Raw genomic sequence first — 14,942 nt, 5'->3', positions numbered from 1 at the left:
AAGTAGCATTTCTCAGCCCAAACTCCAGGTTTGCTGAGATGGATGCCTTTGGCTGAGGTGCTGGCAGAGCAGACTCTATGGGTCTGGGCCCCTCTCACTTCCGCTCCCACTCCAGGCCCTCTGAAGAGTTGGGAACAGGTGACATGCCACTGGAAGAAAAGGCCTAATGATGGCAGAGACGGGCGCAGCCACTGTGGGAGCCTGTGGACACTGTGGTGCTGCAGGGAGGGACCCAGCCCACTCAGAAGAGGTTGCCTGGTCCTCACCCCCCTGTGTCAGGGAGCTCATGGCTCCGGATCACCTGGTGTCTAAAGCTGCTTCCTCCTGCTGGATCAGGTGCTGCTTGGGTTCCCTGAAACCCTTGAGGACAGCACAAAAAGGGAGGGAGGAGAGCTCCAGCATTTTGTCAACTGAGGCAAGTTTAGGTGATTAAGCTAAGAAAGCAAAGCCACTCTGGCCCAGAGGATTATCTCTGAGGTGTGTTGGGAACCAAGAAGTAACTTAATGCCTACGAGGCAAACCAAACCCAAGATGATTCTCAACTAATTGCTCGCCTCTCCTTTTGCCAAGCCAAACTCCCTGTTATATAAAGGCCAGTCTCCTCTCTTGTCCCTATCCCTCTCAGCTCTTGCTAAGTGATCACTAGCTTGCCTCCAAGCTCTCTCACTATGAACAGACAAGTTTGCAAGAAATCCTTCAGTGGCAGGAGCCAGGGTTTCTCTGGCCGCTCTGCTGTGGTCTCCGGCAGCAGCAGGATGAGCTGTGTGGCCCGCTCTGGGGGAGCTGGTGGAGGGGCCTGTGGCTTCAGGAGCGGAGCAGGCAGCTTTGGCAGTCGCAGCCTCTACAACCTGGGCAGCAACAAGAGCATCTCCATCAGCGTGGCAGCTGGCAGCTCCCGGGCTGGAGGCTTTGGGGGAGGGCGGAGCAGCTGTGGCTTTGCAGGTGGCTATGGAGGTGGCTTTGGGGGCAGCTATGGTGGTGGCTTTGGTGGTGGCAGAGGAGTAGGTAGTGGTTTTGGAGGGGCTGGTGGCTTTGGTGGAGCTGGTGGCTTTGGTGGTCCTGGTGTATTTGGTGGGCCTGGCAGCTTTGGTGGTCCTGGTGGCTTTGGCCCTGGGGGCTTTCCTGGGGGAATTCAGGAAGTGATTGTAAACCAGAGTCTCCTGCAGCCCCTCAATGTGGAGATCGACCCCCAGATTGGGCAAGTAAAGGCCCAGGAGCGGGAACAGATCAAGACCCTCAACAACAAGTTTGCCTCCTTCATCGACAAGGTGAGGGCAAGGCCAAGAGGTGCTGTGGAGGGTTTGGGGTGCCCAGGGGTCGGTGTAGAAAGATGCCATGGGGACTTGTGAGACACAGGGCAGGGGCGCTTGGCTCTTGTCCTGGTGCTGTCTTGGTCCCTACAGGACAGTGATCATGCCCCTTTCACTTTTTGGGCCTTCTTTTTCCAGCTGTGAAATGGGGGGAAGAATTCCTGGTCCTGGTTTCCTGCTAAGAATGAGATGAGGGTAAATGAAGTGGGGGTCCAAACATGCTCTTAGCTTTTTGAAGAATGAGCCATTTTAGTCATGAAATTATTGCAGTTACTTTAATTTCTCCTGAAAAGCAATTGCTTGATAATCCAAAGTAGCTGGTAATCAAAACCTTGTGTTAGCACAGATCTTGAGGCTGCATCTAAATGAGGTGCATTGGCAGCTGCCTTACCTTCCAGATGATGCTGTGCTTCAGCCAATAATTAAACTGAGCTGTCCATGCTGGGGCAGAGGAGGGTGTTCTGGGTCTGTGTGGGACTGAGCCCAGGATCTGAAGTGAATTCTAGTTCAGCTGCAAGCTGAATAACTGAAAGGAGGTCTTCCTATGTGAAACTTCTAAAGAAATGTTAGACCTCATTGACTGTATTCACTGCCTTTATGGAGCTGAAAAAAGCTTACATCTAAAAAACAATGACAAACTTTATTTGTGCTTACCTCCTTCAGTGGTATTCTGAAGGATCCCTATAGACCCAGGACAGTCCTGGGTTTGATTCTTAGCTTTGTCACTCAGTAGACTTGTCACTTTGGGAAACTTAAACTCTTTGAGTCTCAGTTTCCTTATCTACAAAATGGGGATCACAGCAACTCCTTTATAGGTGGTTGTGAGGATTAAATGTGACGGAAATACATGAAAATAACAGGTAAGGCATAATCACTCAACAAATTCTAGCTCTCCCTTTGCTAAATCTTCATCCTTCCCAAATTAAAAAACAGGGGAAATTGTAGATTGAAGAACTGGGTTCCTTCTCCACAGTTCTACATTTGGGATGGGCAGCCCCACATGCCCAACTCAAGGGGCTGACTCCTTTTCTCCCCTCTTTCATGCAGGTGCGGTTCCTGGAACAGCAGAACAAGGTCCTGGAGACCAAGTGGGAACTGCTCCAGCAGCAGACCACAGGCTCAGGGCCCAGCAGCCTGGAGCCTTGTTTTGAATCCTACATCAGCTTCCTATGCAAGCAGCTAGATTCACTTCTAGGGGAGAGGGGGAACCTGGAGGGAGAGCTGAAAAGCATGCAGGACCTGGTGGAAGACTTCAAAAAGAAGTGAGGGCTCCTCCTGGGAAGTTTCCCCTTCTGGGGAATTAGCAGGGAGGTGTGGTCCTAATTTGGGATTTCAACTGTTCCCAACTGTGCCTTCAGTCAATACTCTGGGATGGATTTATTGAGTGAAACATGACAAAGCAGAAGGGGGTGAAAGGGTGGGGACTGAGACTCCCATGTGGCTATGACACAGATTTCAGGCTCCAGATGGGCCCCCTCCTATTCCAGCCCAGAGGGACAAAAGAGTCCTCCCAGAGTTTAGAATCCTTTAGGATGGGGAGTCCGCCACACTTGACTGGACACAGGAATCACCTTGGATGCTTGTCAACAATGCGTATTCCTGTATTCCAGTCTTAGGTATTCTGAATCATAGGTGTGGACAGGCCCCAGGAGTGTGAGTGTTCCCCTAGCTCCTGGGGATTCTAGGCAGAGGTCCAGGGCTGCACTTGGTAAAGGCCTTTATCAGTGTGTCCCGTCCAATCTCCTGTTCTGCAGCTTTGGTTTGCCTCCTCCTCCACGTTCCAAGTTGCAGTCCATATCCGCTGAGGTCTGCAAGGAGCAAACTGGGCCTCTCAAGGTGGGAGGGAGCTCCCGACTTCCCCAGGGATCAGAACCCACAGGGACGGGCACACCTGCTCTGCAGAGGCCCTATTCCAATTCAACCACACAAACGTGGTGGGCACCCACTCTGTGGCAGGCTCTGTGCTGGGCTCTGGGAATTCAGTGGCAACTCAGATTCATATTCCCAAAAGAGATCCCAGAGACCTCTTTTCTCCTAGAGGAAAAAAAGAGGTCCTGCCTAGAGACCTCTTTTCTCCTAGAATCAGTCCAATTCCTCAAGCTTTATGAAATACAAACTCTTGGTAGTAGATTTTAGTCCTTAACAGGCAGGAATCCCACAACTTTGATGCATTCAGAAGGTATGAATTCTTTCTTAACTGAAATTCCTATAAGAAGTAACTGTAATGAAGGAAAACAGAAACTGAGGAAATAGGCAGAAATGCCCAATGAGAGCACACATTTCACTGGGTTCCATATGCACACATTGTGCTTTGCAAAGTCAATCAAAGAGCCTAGGCAAGTGGTCAGGCTCCTTGAAGTTTGCCCTCTCACTGACTGCCCATACCTCTGCCCATCACTGCATTTAGAGGGAAGAGGGCCAGGCAGTGCCCTGAGCTCTGAGAGGTCTCTGGACAGGACCAGCTACGTGATTTTCAGGCCTCAGTGCAAAATGATAATGCAGGAACCTAGTTACAAAATTATTAAGAATTTCAATCATGCCTGTAATCCCAGTACTTTGGGAGGCTGAGGAGGGAGAATCACTTGAGCCCAACAGTTCGAGACCAGCCTGGGCAACAAAGTGAGACCTTGTCTCTACTAAAAATTAAAAAATTGGCTGGACGTGGTGGTGCATGCCTCCAGTCCCAGCTATTTGGGAGTCTGAGGCAGGAGGATTGCTTGAGCCTGAGGGGTTGAGGCCACAGTGAGCCATGTTTGTGCCACTGCACTCCAGCCTAGGTGACAGGGTGAAACCTTGTCTCAGAAAAAAAAAAAAAAAAGAAAGAATGTCAATATGGTGCCAGCATTGAGCTAAGTGTGAGGACCCTGAGCCCAGGGTCCTGTGTAACTGCACGTGCCCATGAAGCTCGTCCTGTCTCTGCGCAGGTGAGGAGAGTGCCTGGAATCCTCACCTCTCTTTTTTACTTCTGAAATGCCAGTGTTCAAATGTGTGCCTCTTCTTGTTCCAGGTATGAAGATGAAATCAACAAACGCACTGCCGCAGAGAATGAGTTTGTGGGGCTCAAGAAGGTAGGTGAGCCTGGACCAGCATATCCAGGTTTCCTTTCTGGGAGCTGCCCCCATGGAGAGAGTGCACAGCCAGCTGTTCTGGGGCACAGGGACCTTATATTGTGTGTGGGATTGACACTTTTCCTTACATTTTTGGAAATGAAATGTTTCATGAAGGAAGCTGCTCTAAGTATATTACCATGGAAAGGTATGTTAAAATGTTACTGTGACTAATGAGCTGATTAGCAATGCGAACTAATAATGAGCCCTTTATGTGTAAGATTAATCAAGATTTTCAGCCTGCAAATGTACTCCAGATGCTATTAATAACAATCAACAAATACTTGTAGCATATTTAAACCAGTCATCGTAAAAGTGAAGTAGTGAGAATACCCTAATTTCTGTTCAGGAGGGTGGGATTTCTGGTACTATACAACCAAAGTCACATACATATTAGGTAAATATGATTTTTCTACCCTAAAATCAGATGGTTACTCTGTGCCTTATGGTTTGTATTTTGTTAAAGTATTGGGGCTTGATATGTCAAGCAAGGAAAAGGAAGAAAGCCATTTTGATCTTCCTTATTTTAAAAGGGAAGATGAGAAGTCACAATTAGGAGGAGAGCTGGGGGCGGAACAAAGACGAGACATGAGGGCTTAGGAAAGAGCCACTGGGTGGGAGGGGAACAGAGGGTCATTCTCTGGGTTTCTGACCTCCTCTGCAGGATGTGGATGCGGCTTTCATGAACAAGGTGGAGCTGCAGGCCAAAGTGGACAGCCTGACAGATGAAGTCAGCTTCCTGAGGACCCTCTATGAGATGGTGATTCCTTGGTTTGCAAGCTGCAGAACCTTCCTGTCTGATTCTTCCCAAGCATAACTTTAGGGGACAGCCAAACAGCACAACACTCACAAAACCAGCAATGGGGCTCAGGACTCAGCTCCACCCCACCTGGGAAATGTTAACTGAGCTTCTTCAGTCTGCATAGACCTGGCCCACAGGTCCTCAGGCCATTTTGCTCTGCACCTTCTCTCTGGCTTCTATACCCATGTCATAGTTGGCTTCTTCATAATACTCCTCCCTGCTGGGGGCCCATGGAAACTTACACAATAAGACTCATTGGCTGATACTTTCAGGCTGATAGCCTAATTATATTGCATATTTTGCATATTTCCTTTAGCCTTGTTGTCTAACATCCTTTAGGCTGTAGCCAGGCCTAAAATGTGAGCTTATTTTTCCAACTGATCCACCTCTAGCCCCATCCTTGGGATATCTCCGCTAGTAGAGGATTCCCAGCATCCCCTGGTCCAGGCGATGGTAAGAGTAACTATCCATGTTTCCTGCAGGAGCTGTCCCAGATGCAAAGCCATGCCAGTGACACGTCTGTGGTTCTGTCCATGGACAACAACCGCTGCCTGGACCTGGGCAGCATCATTGCCGAGGTCCGCGCCCAGTATGAGGAGATTGCCCAGAGGAGCAAGTCTGAAGCTGAGGCCCTGTACCAGACCAAGGTGGGAACCCTCCCTGTGTCCTTGGATCCTGATGACCTTCATTGAGAATGTGCCAACACTTTGCAAAAGCCACGTTGATTGGTTTTTCCTCTGTCAGCTTGGGGAGCTGCAGACCACAGCTGGCAGGCATGGGGATGACCTGAGGAACACCAAGAGTGAGATCATGGAGCTCAACAGGATGATCCAGAGGCTACGGGCTGAGATTGAAAATGTCAAGAAGCAGGTGGGGCTGGGTTTAACGGAGAGATCCCAGAGGTCTTCTGGGCCCCGGAGAGAAGCAGCATAAGCTCTGCTCCTCTGCTACATGCTCTCTCCATCCTTTCATGGTGTCACATGTGGGATAGCGCAGTGTCTGGGAAACTCTGTTCTCCCAGATGTTTTTGTTGGAGGTTGAACTTCTTGGAAAGCTCACTCAAGAAAGATGTTTGTTTATTCTAGTTTGCCTAACAAATCTTGCAACTGCAGTTCTGGACTTAAACACTCAGATGTCAGCAGGATCTGCCCTTAGTGAAGCTGTTTCTCACACCTTTCACATAACCTTGATGGCTGCTCTGTATCATTGGAATGAAGTGATTAGGCAAGAGAGTTTTTAACAGTCTTGCAAAAAAGATTAGGGACTAACCAGACCACTACTACCTGTAACAGCATAGGAAAGCAAATTAGTGCTCCCTTTCTTGATGAGCCGCAAGTTGATTTCAATGGGACAAAGATGAATTAACCAACTGCAAAACTGACTTCTTTTCTCTGAGCATGCTCCATTGGGATTTCTAAGGAAAGGGAGGAAGGGATGCAGGATGTGGGGGAAGAGATCTACTCCTAGTAAGGATCAAGTGTTTGTTTCCGGGTCACTATGCTAATTGATTTTCTACCTCAGAATGCCAACCTGCAGACGGCAATTGCAGAGGCTGAGCAGCGTGGAGAGATGGCCCTCAAGGACGCCAATGCCAAGCTCCAAGACTTGCAGACTGCCCTACAGAAGGCTAAGGATGACCTGGCTCGGCTCCTGCGTGACTACCAGGAGCTGATGAACGTCAAGCTGGCCCTGGATGTGGAGATTGCCACCTACCGCAAGCTGCTGGAGGGAGAGGAGTGCAGGTGAGGGGCCATGGGATCACCATTCTCCAGATATGGTTTTAGAGTGACCTTTGATAATGTGGAAAGGGGGCAAGATGATAAGGAGAGGAACACTAAGACAAAGGGCAAGGAGTGTCTTGAATGACAGAGTCAAGGGTTCAAGCCCCACTATTTTATGTCCATCAAGATCATCCAACTCTCAAATGTTTAATGGACATCAATATCATGTTACATATCTCTATTGATCTTCACTATGTGCAATGTATGAGGAAAGTTCTTTGGCATTATGACAAGTGATAGACCAGTGCTGTCCACTGGAACTTTTTGAGATGATGAAAATTTTCTATTCTTGTGCTGTCCAATACAGTAGCCACTGGCCACTTGAGCCCTGGAAATGTGGCTAGTGCAACCGAGAAACACAGTTTTACATTTAATTTAATTTTAATTAACTTAAATAGCATCATGTGGCTACTGGCTACCATACTGGAAAGCTCAATATAGACAGTCCTACAAGCTCCACCCCTGAAGCTGAGTCCATATGGGGAGACGGTTGATACATCCATGCTCTTGGAAAATAATACAGCATTAAGCAGCAGATAAAGTCTTAGCAAGTGTTTATCAAATGCTAAAGGAGTGTCAAGAATTGAGAGATCTTTCTGCTGAGTTTCTGCCCAATGCATCATGTGCTCAGGGAGTAGCTAACCCTCTGTCCTTGGGTAGCTCCCAATCTGATGGAGGAAGCAGAACCCAAGTATGAGAAGGAAAGTGAGAGTGAAGGTGATGTCAAGTGTACTAGGAGTCATGGGATGAGGAGGGAATGGTCAACACCAGTGGGCACACATTGGCAAGATATGCAGACCCAATCCATATCTTCTCAGATATGTGGATGTGCCTGCTCCATTAACAAGAATAAGACACAGGAAGATGGACAGTGTAGGTGGTACATTTCAAATCCATCCTGCATTGAGTTTCAGCCCCTCCCATATTTTCTCCACCCTGAACAACCCCAATCATGTCACCACCACCCCAGGAGGGCCCATTGTGGAAGCCTTCTTGGAAAGGCAGAATTGGAAATAAAAAATCCAGGGCTGGGTAGAGAAGAATGAAAGGGCATGCTAAGGTGGGAAGATGGTCTTAGCAGGGGATGAGAAGTGGGGACAGGCCAATCAAGGCAGAGCTGGGCATCAAGTAGTTTGCCTAGAGAAGATAATCTCTAAGGGCTAAGGGGAAAAGTGTGGGAATTCTCAACTCTTGAAGCAGCCCCCTTTTCTGGGGAGATATGGTCATGGAAACAGACTTGGAATAGGCTTTCTTCTTGCAGGAGCTTGACCCCTAGTGGGGCAAATGGGAGGGCGTGGCTCCCAAAGTTGTGAACTCTCAACTCTTTGGTTATTGACTCATAACAGAAAGAATTCACCTCTCCTCTTCCTTTTCAGGATGTCTGGAGAATGTCAGAGTGCCGTGTGCATTTGTAAGTAGCCCATTCAAAAAACCCTCTCCCTGGGTTGTAAAAGGGCAGCTAGAAACAACCTCACTGACTGACCTTCAGGCAAGAAGGCCTGTTCCATCCAAGGAAGTCAGGCCACCTGACAGCGTCTAGGATCTCAGGCCATGGCCACATGCTCTGCCCCTAGTGTAAGCTGACAACCTCTCAGGCCAAAGCTAAAGCCCCTCTGGTTTGGGGAGTGGCCTAGGTTGGAAAACCAGAAATTTCTGTAGATTTCTGGTTCCTGTTCTTGGGAGAAGGCACTAGAGGCCAGGCTCACTCTCATGGTTTGCAAACTGAGGCATTAGATAAGTTAGCATCTTTCTCGAAGTCACATGGCCAAGCAGGGTGGGGATGTAATACAGTCCTTGGCTTCCAGTTTCCCAGGCCCTTTGCCTGAATTGTGTGCCTGTTGTCTTGTAGCAGTGGTCAGCAATGTCACCAGCACAAGTGGCAGCTCTGGCAGTAGCCGTGGAGTTTTTGGAGGGGTCAGTGGCAGTGGCAGTGGTGGCTACAAAGGCGGCAGCAGCAGCAGCAGCAGCAGTGGCTATGGAGTCAGTGGCGGCAGCGGCAGTGGCTATGGAGGGGTCAGCAGTGGCAGCACTGGGGGCAGGGGTAGCAGCGGGAGCTACCAGAGCAGCAGTAGTGGGAGCAGGCTCGGCGGTGCAGGTAGCATCTCCGTGAGCCACAGTGGAATGGGCTCCAGCTCTGGCAGCATCCAGACTTCTGGAGGAAGTGGCTACAAGTCTGGTGGTGGAGGCAGCACCAGTATCCGCTTCTCCCAGACCACGAGCTCAAGCCAGCATAGCTCCACCAAGTGATCTACTGTTCCAAATCTCTATAACCACCTGCTTCCCACTCAGCCTGCAATAGTGTTTCCCACTCTCTGCTTGGCATCAATAGATGCATAAGGGTCAACCACATTTTTCCTCAAGTTCCCTGGAGAAGAAGCTGAACTCCTGGTTTCTCCATCCCCATGACCTTCCCAGGGCCATGGAGGTCCTGCTGCTGGTCTGGGATGATGATGCCCCTGGAAACCTTCCTGCAATGGCCCCTTACTTTGGACAGCAACCCCTGAGCCCAAGCCAGTTTTGGCCTTCACAGCCTGGCCTGTTCCCACTCTGGCCCATCTCCCTTTCTTACTGGGAGTTGGAGATTTGAAGCCAGTCATCTCAGCACTGTCTGAGGAGGGCAGAGCCATGGGTTCTGTGCTGGAGGGTGCACGGCCAAGATCTCCAGACTGCTGGTTCCCAGGGAACCCTCCCTACATCTGGGCTTCAGATCCTGACTCCCTTCTGTCCCCTAATTCCCTGAGCTGTAGATCCTCTGGTGATGAGTATGTTGCACTTTCTTTTCTCAATAAATTGCACTGAACTTCACATTCTGGTGTTGGTCTTTTATTCCAGGAGTCACAGAATAGATCACGACCCAAAAGTGATGAGAAATCAGGTGGGGGTGATGGTCTTCCAGGAATTTAAAAGTGGGTATAAAGGCCACTGAATAGTCTTGGCTTCTCCACCTATTTGGTTAGGTTCCCGTGATAGGTCTGCCCAGGAGTATGTTGTTTAGGGGAAACCTTCCCCACTCCCAAGAAAGTCATCCCATCCTTCCTCCAGCCTCTGAGCAGGCCTCTGCAATTCAGTCTTGGAAGAAGTGAGTTCTGCAGTTCATCAAGGAAACAGATTCCACTGGGACTTCAGTTCCTTTGTTCCATCCCCATCCCAGCCAGACACAGAAGCAATCCTCTTTCTGCAAACACAGCTCTTGGAATCTGAAGGGGTCAATACATAACATCTTTTCCTTGCATAGGTTCTGAGCCAATTAAAAAATAAGACAAATGAATGAGCAGATGGAGGGTCAATATTGCCTTTATTACCAAGAAAGCAGATACTGGAGCGTGTGTCTTTTTACCTCGGATGGAAAGGGTTTCTCCTATCACAGGACCTCAGGATTAGGCCAGATTTTCCACCTGGGCAGGGGCAGCCTAGGGCCACTGTGGCCTTCCCTATGGGGTCAGATCCCTCATAGTCGAGGGAGAGAACAAGAGAGCAGAATATAATCTTACTGTGGACAGCCAGATCCTAAGAGATGGAGGGGCATTGCTCTGCAAACTCAACTCTTCCTTCCAAACTCATTGATCAGGTAAGAGAGTGGGTGGGAGTGTTAAACTAGTAAAACTCACTCCAGATGGATGTAAAATTAGGAACAGGGATGATGTGTGCCTGCCCTCACACCAGCGTTTACCAGCCATTCTCAGAAAGCTGAAACCCAAACCCAGGGGGCACAGGGGTAATGAGACAGTCACTGAGAGAAACCAGGAAAATTGGGGGCCTCAGGGAGATGACATTTAGGATCTGTGATTTTTCCCCACCCTGTCCCCCAACCAATGCCCTCTGCATGCCATTAATCATGGCAAAATACTAGTTTGTAAGTCACTGTAGACCATGTGTTACTGCCCATAAGACAGGTCAGGGATGGAATAACAAGAGGGCATCTGTACATTTGTCTGATGTCCAAGGGGAGTGCCAGGGCCTGGTCTCCGTATTTCTGAGTCTTAGCTCAGCCCATCTAATCTCTAAAGTACAGTAGCCCTGGCCTCAAGAATTGGAGAAGAGGGCATTTTAAAGTTCCTATACCTGAATGATCAATAAATCCTTGCCCATCTTTTCATGGCTCACAAGCCGGAGGTAGTGCCCTTTCCACTTTCCCTTGGCCTAGCTCTGGGTACTTTGAGCAGGGGCAGGCAGTTCTGAATTGCTGCTCTTACTGGCCTTTTAAGAGACGCTGCAAGAAACATAATCGGTTGTCTCCCCAACTCCCCACAGGAAAACACCCTGGGAGCTCTGCTCCATGTGTTGCTTAACTTAATGGGAAGAGGCTGACTGTCTTGAGTCAACACAACTTCTCATAAGACAGAAGCAGCAGGGTTTAGAGACATCTGCTTCAGTCTCTTTATCCATCTGCTCCATGTGTGTTGATAGCTGGGTCCTGGGTACTAATCTCAGGGCCCTGCCTAGCAGGTGGGGAACTGAGTGAAAGTTTGGTGGTCAATTGAAAGGATGAATAGAGATGAATAAGGAGAGTGGGCCCCGCATCCCCTTAGCCTGAATGGAAGATGAGATAGGTCACACTCCAAGGTAGGACAGAGTGAAAAGTTTACAGTGAGGGCCTAGGAACCTCTTTTGAACTCTTGTGAGGAGGAATGGTGGAGGGGGCTACCAAGGAAGGTAATGAAAGACTTAAGGATACCTAGAATTAAAGGAAGGGGCCTATTTAGAAAGGCACATTGTAGAAGAAGCCTGGAGCAGGCCTGGGAAGGAAAGAGACTCTGGGCAATATGGAGGAAGGGCAAGGGGTCAGGGCTCAGCTATCCAGACCAAATCCCAGGAGAACTCCAGGACTAGTATCATCTTCCATGTTCTTGACACAGTGGCACTAAATCATGTGCCAGTGGAGCACATGGTGAAGCTCCAGGGTGAAGGCATCATGTCTGAGGCCAGGATAGGGGCTGGGGAGAATAGAACATTTTTAAGACTGTGGGAGACTGGCAATCTTGGGCTGTCTCAGCCTTGCAGAATCCCTCAATCCATCGCCCATCTGAAGGCAGAACTGGGGCAGCTCTTTGCATTTGAAGGCAGCCAGGGTAAGTAGAGTAGACATTTACCTGTGTGGAATGGTCAAAAGGGTGACAGGAGCCCTTTGGAATTGATACTTGAAATCCTACCAGTTGCCTTTAGAATTAAACAATCTGTCTCCTAGTGGCAACTACTTTGTTGTTTTCCATCCTTTATTCTTTACCCTTTACTCTTCTCCCTCTCCTTCTAGATATCTTTTACTAAATTATAAAAGCAACACACATTTATAGCAAAAAATGCATAAAGTTTTAGCAAATTAAAAGAAGATTAAGATCATCTATGATTCTACCATCCTGACATTTTCCTACATTCATGCATGTGCATGCTTACACACATATTCATAGAAATATATAGAATATTTTACAATGGGGTCTTAACAATACATTCTGCTTTTTAACTTGATTTTTCACGTAATGTACTGTGGAATTTATCCATTTAGTTATTCAACAACTATTAATAGACTGAATGCCTACCATTTTCTAGCTACTGTGCCAGGCCCAAGGATACAGGGGAGAACACATATAGTTTCTGCCCTCACAGAATTTATAATCTAGCTGATAAGAAATTTACCAAATAGCATCTTTCCACAACAGCAAATGTAGAAGGAGATCATAATTTTCTTTTTCAGTGCAGATTCTTATTTTTACTTAAAAAACAAAATCAAAGGTACACATTAGGAACTATAAACAATTATGTGTTTTTCTTCTTTCTAGAGGTGTGACATACATGTTTTCTAGTCAGTAATGTCCTACCAAACATTTTACTAACAGGAAGCCAGACAGATGACCTTTGGTACCTCTGAAGCCTTTTGCTGCTTTCTCTTACTCAGGCTGAACTAGACCAGTGGAACATTATTTTTTTGCAAGAAATATTTTGAAAGGAAGAAGGATAGAGTTGGAATTACAGAGCTTGAAGAATCACATCTTAGCAAACTCATCCCCACCCCAACCAAAAACCTAACAGACTGATTTATATGGAAAGGATTTTAAGTAAATCTGTACAAACACACTTAACATGGTATAAGTAAAAGATACCTTTTAGTTGATTTCCAGCACATAGCACATATCCATTGATGTCCAGTAAAATAGGAATTTCAATAAAGAAAACATTTTTGCTGTCACAGCACTACAATTAAAAAGTACAAGCCATTTAATACTTAGATCTTTAAGGGGCTAATCAGAAATTCTAAAATCAGATCTACTGTATTAGATCTACAGCTTGAGTATTCATCTACAAAAATATTTTTTCAACAATGATGCTTAAAAAAATAAAGGCTTCTCTAGAAACTGTGGGACTATATCAGGACTAGCAGAAGACAGTGATAAAAGAACTGCAAACCCACACCTAGGAATTGATTTTTCCCATGTAGCTTTTAGTTAACGACCTGTTTTTCAGTTGCTTCTTTTGGCCAAGACTGGCTCTAGTTTTCTCGTAATAGTGGGCAGAAAATAGGAGCTTCAGAAATCTCAAGTCAGGGGCAGTTGGTTTGAATGACATCCTAGATAAATACTCCCAAAAAGTAAAATACCTGCCCAGGTGGATCCCTAGGGTTGATGGACTACAAATCTTACCCAAGTGAAAGAGCTGTGAGCACACGAAAGTTTAGTGCAAAGCCTGCCTGTGGTATCTGGGACAGGGAGGGTTTGTGATGGTGTTATTTTCCACGTTGTTGACACAGGAACATGTATGGTGAGAAAAGGGGTCTTCCAGGTGGATTGCTTGACACAATCTCTTGTCACAGAGTAGTCTGACCCTCAGAAGTTCCTGAGAGAGGTGTGTCTACTTTGGCAGGGGCAGTAGTGTTACTGAATACAAGAAGGTGCTTCAGGAAAAGCAGAGGTCCCTGGAGGGTCAGGTAATTATCTTTTTGATTCATCAATGCTTAACATTAATGAAGAGCTGCAGTCAGTCTTTCCAAGACATATTCTGTCATTAAGAACAGACGCCTCTCCCCGCCTACTGGGCCTATGATGTCCAGAAGTCTCCCACTGCCTGGAGATGCAAGCTAGTGCCACAGATTGTTTTGGATAGCTGGCGTGGAAGGTGTTTTGCACAACGAAGTCACCACTAAATCGCCACTTAAATCCAGTCCCTGGCCTTCTTTTTCTGCTCTGTAGTCCAGAAACATCTCTTTAAATGCCAGAAAGTCTGTAAATGTGACTAGCATGTTGAATATGTCATCAGCCACTTCATTTTTATGGTGCTTTAATGTTGCTGTGAAGGTCGCCATGTTGAATTCTGGAATCCGCTCCAGCAGCTGTTCTTCAATATATTTTTCTACCAAAGAAAGGTATTCGTTAAAGATTGGTGTGTAGGTGAGTTTATTCTCTTCTGTGTCTTCAAATTCCTGGTAGTATTTGTCCATGAAATTTCTCTGTGGTACTGGAACTCGGGATCCATGATGATGGCCTCAATAGAACCAACCACAGTATTGAATTTGGCTTCAGAGGTGGAAGAGATGGGTAGTGCAAAGCTCTCTTCCTCTGGGGCTTCCGTCACTTCCGCTGCTGCATCCATCCCTGATCTAGGAGCTGGCAAGCAGCCTCCCATCAGCCTGAGACCCACAGAGTCTGTGCCTGTGCATCCCTCCCCTTCCCCGCACCCCGCCCCCCCGATTACTGAGCTGTAGGTGCCATGCCCTGCCACCTGTTACCCTCATGGCCAAGTCGTCTTTCTTAATAACTGCATAATATTCCATTATATAGATGTAGCACCTTTTTACATATATGTTTATTTCTACTTTTTCCACTGTAATAAATGTTGCTGCAATGAACACACAGTTCTCTGGACACTGGTCCTATTCATTCTTTAAGGTAACTTTTTAGAAGTTATTGGAATTGCAAGGCCACTTAAAATTTTTGATTTATATGGTCAGGCCGCT

General features: G+C 47.3%; 1 protein-coding gene and 1 pseudogene across 1 annotated transcript; one reads left to right on the top strand and one right to left on the bottom strand.

The window, feature by feature from the left end:
* Nucleotides 615-9,805, top strand: KRT76 (keratin 76). The gene is made up of 9 exons (NM_015848.4): nucleotides 615-1,268; nucleotides 2,358-2,572; nucleotides 4,318-4,378; nucleotides 5,082-5,177; nucleotides 5,702-5,866; nucleotides 5,964-6,089; nucleotides 6,741-6,961; nucleotides 8,377-8,411; nucleotides 8,850-9,805. Exons 1-9 carry the CDS (start codon nucleotides 669-671, stop codon nucleotides 9,245-9,247), a joined length of 1,917 nt encoding a protein of 638 aa, NP_056932.2. The 5' UTR covers nucleotides 615-668; the 3' UTR covers nucleotides 9,248-9,805.
* Nucleotides 13,868-14,603, bottom strand: ARL2BPP2 (ARF like GTPase 2 binding protein pseudogene 2; annotated as a pseudogene).

This window comes from Homo sapiens, chromosome 12 (assembly GCF_000001405.40).
Source record: "Homo sapiens chromosome 12, GRCh38.p14 Primary Assembly".
NCBI lineage: Eukaryota > Metazoa > Chordata > Mammalia > Primates > Hominidae > Homo > Homo sapiens.
This window is presented reverse-complemented; position numbering and strand designations above follow the sequence as displayed.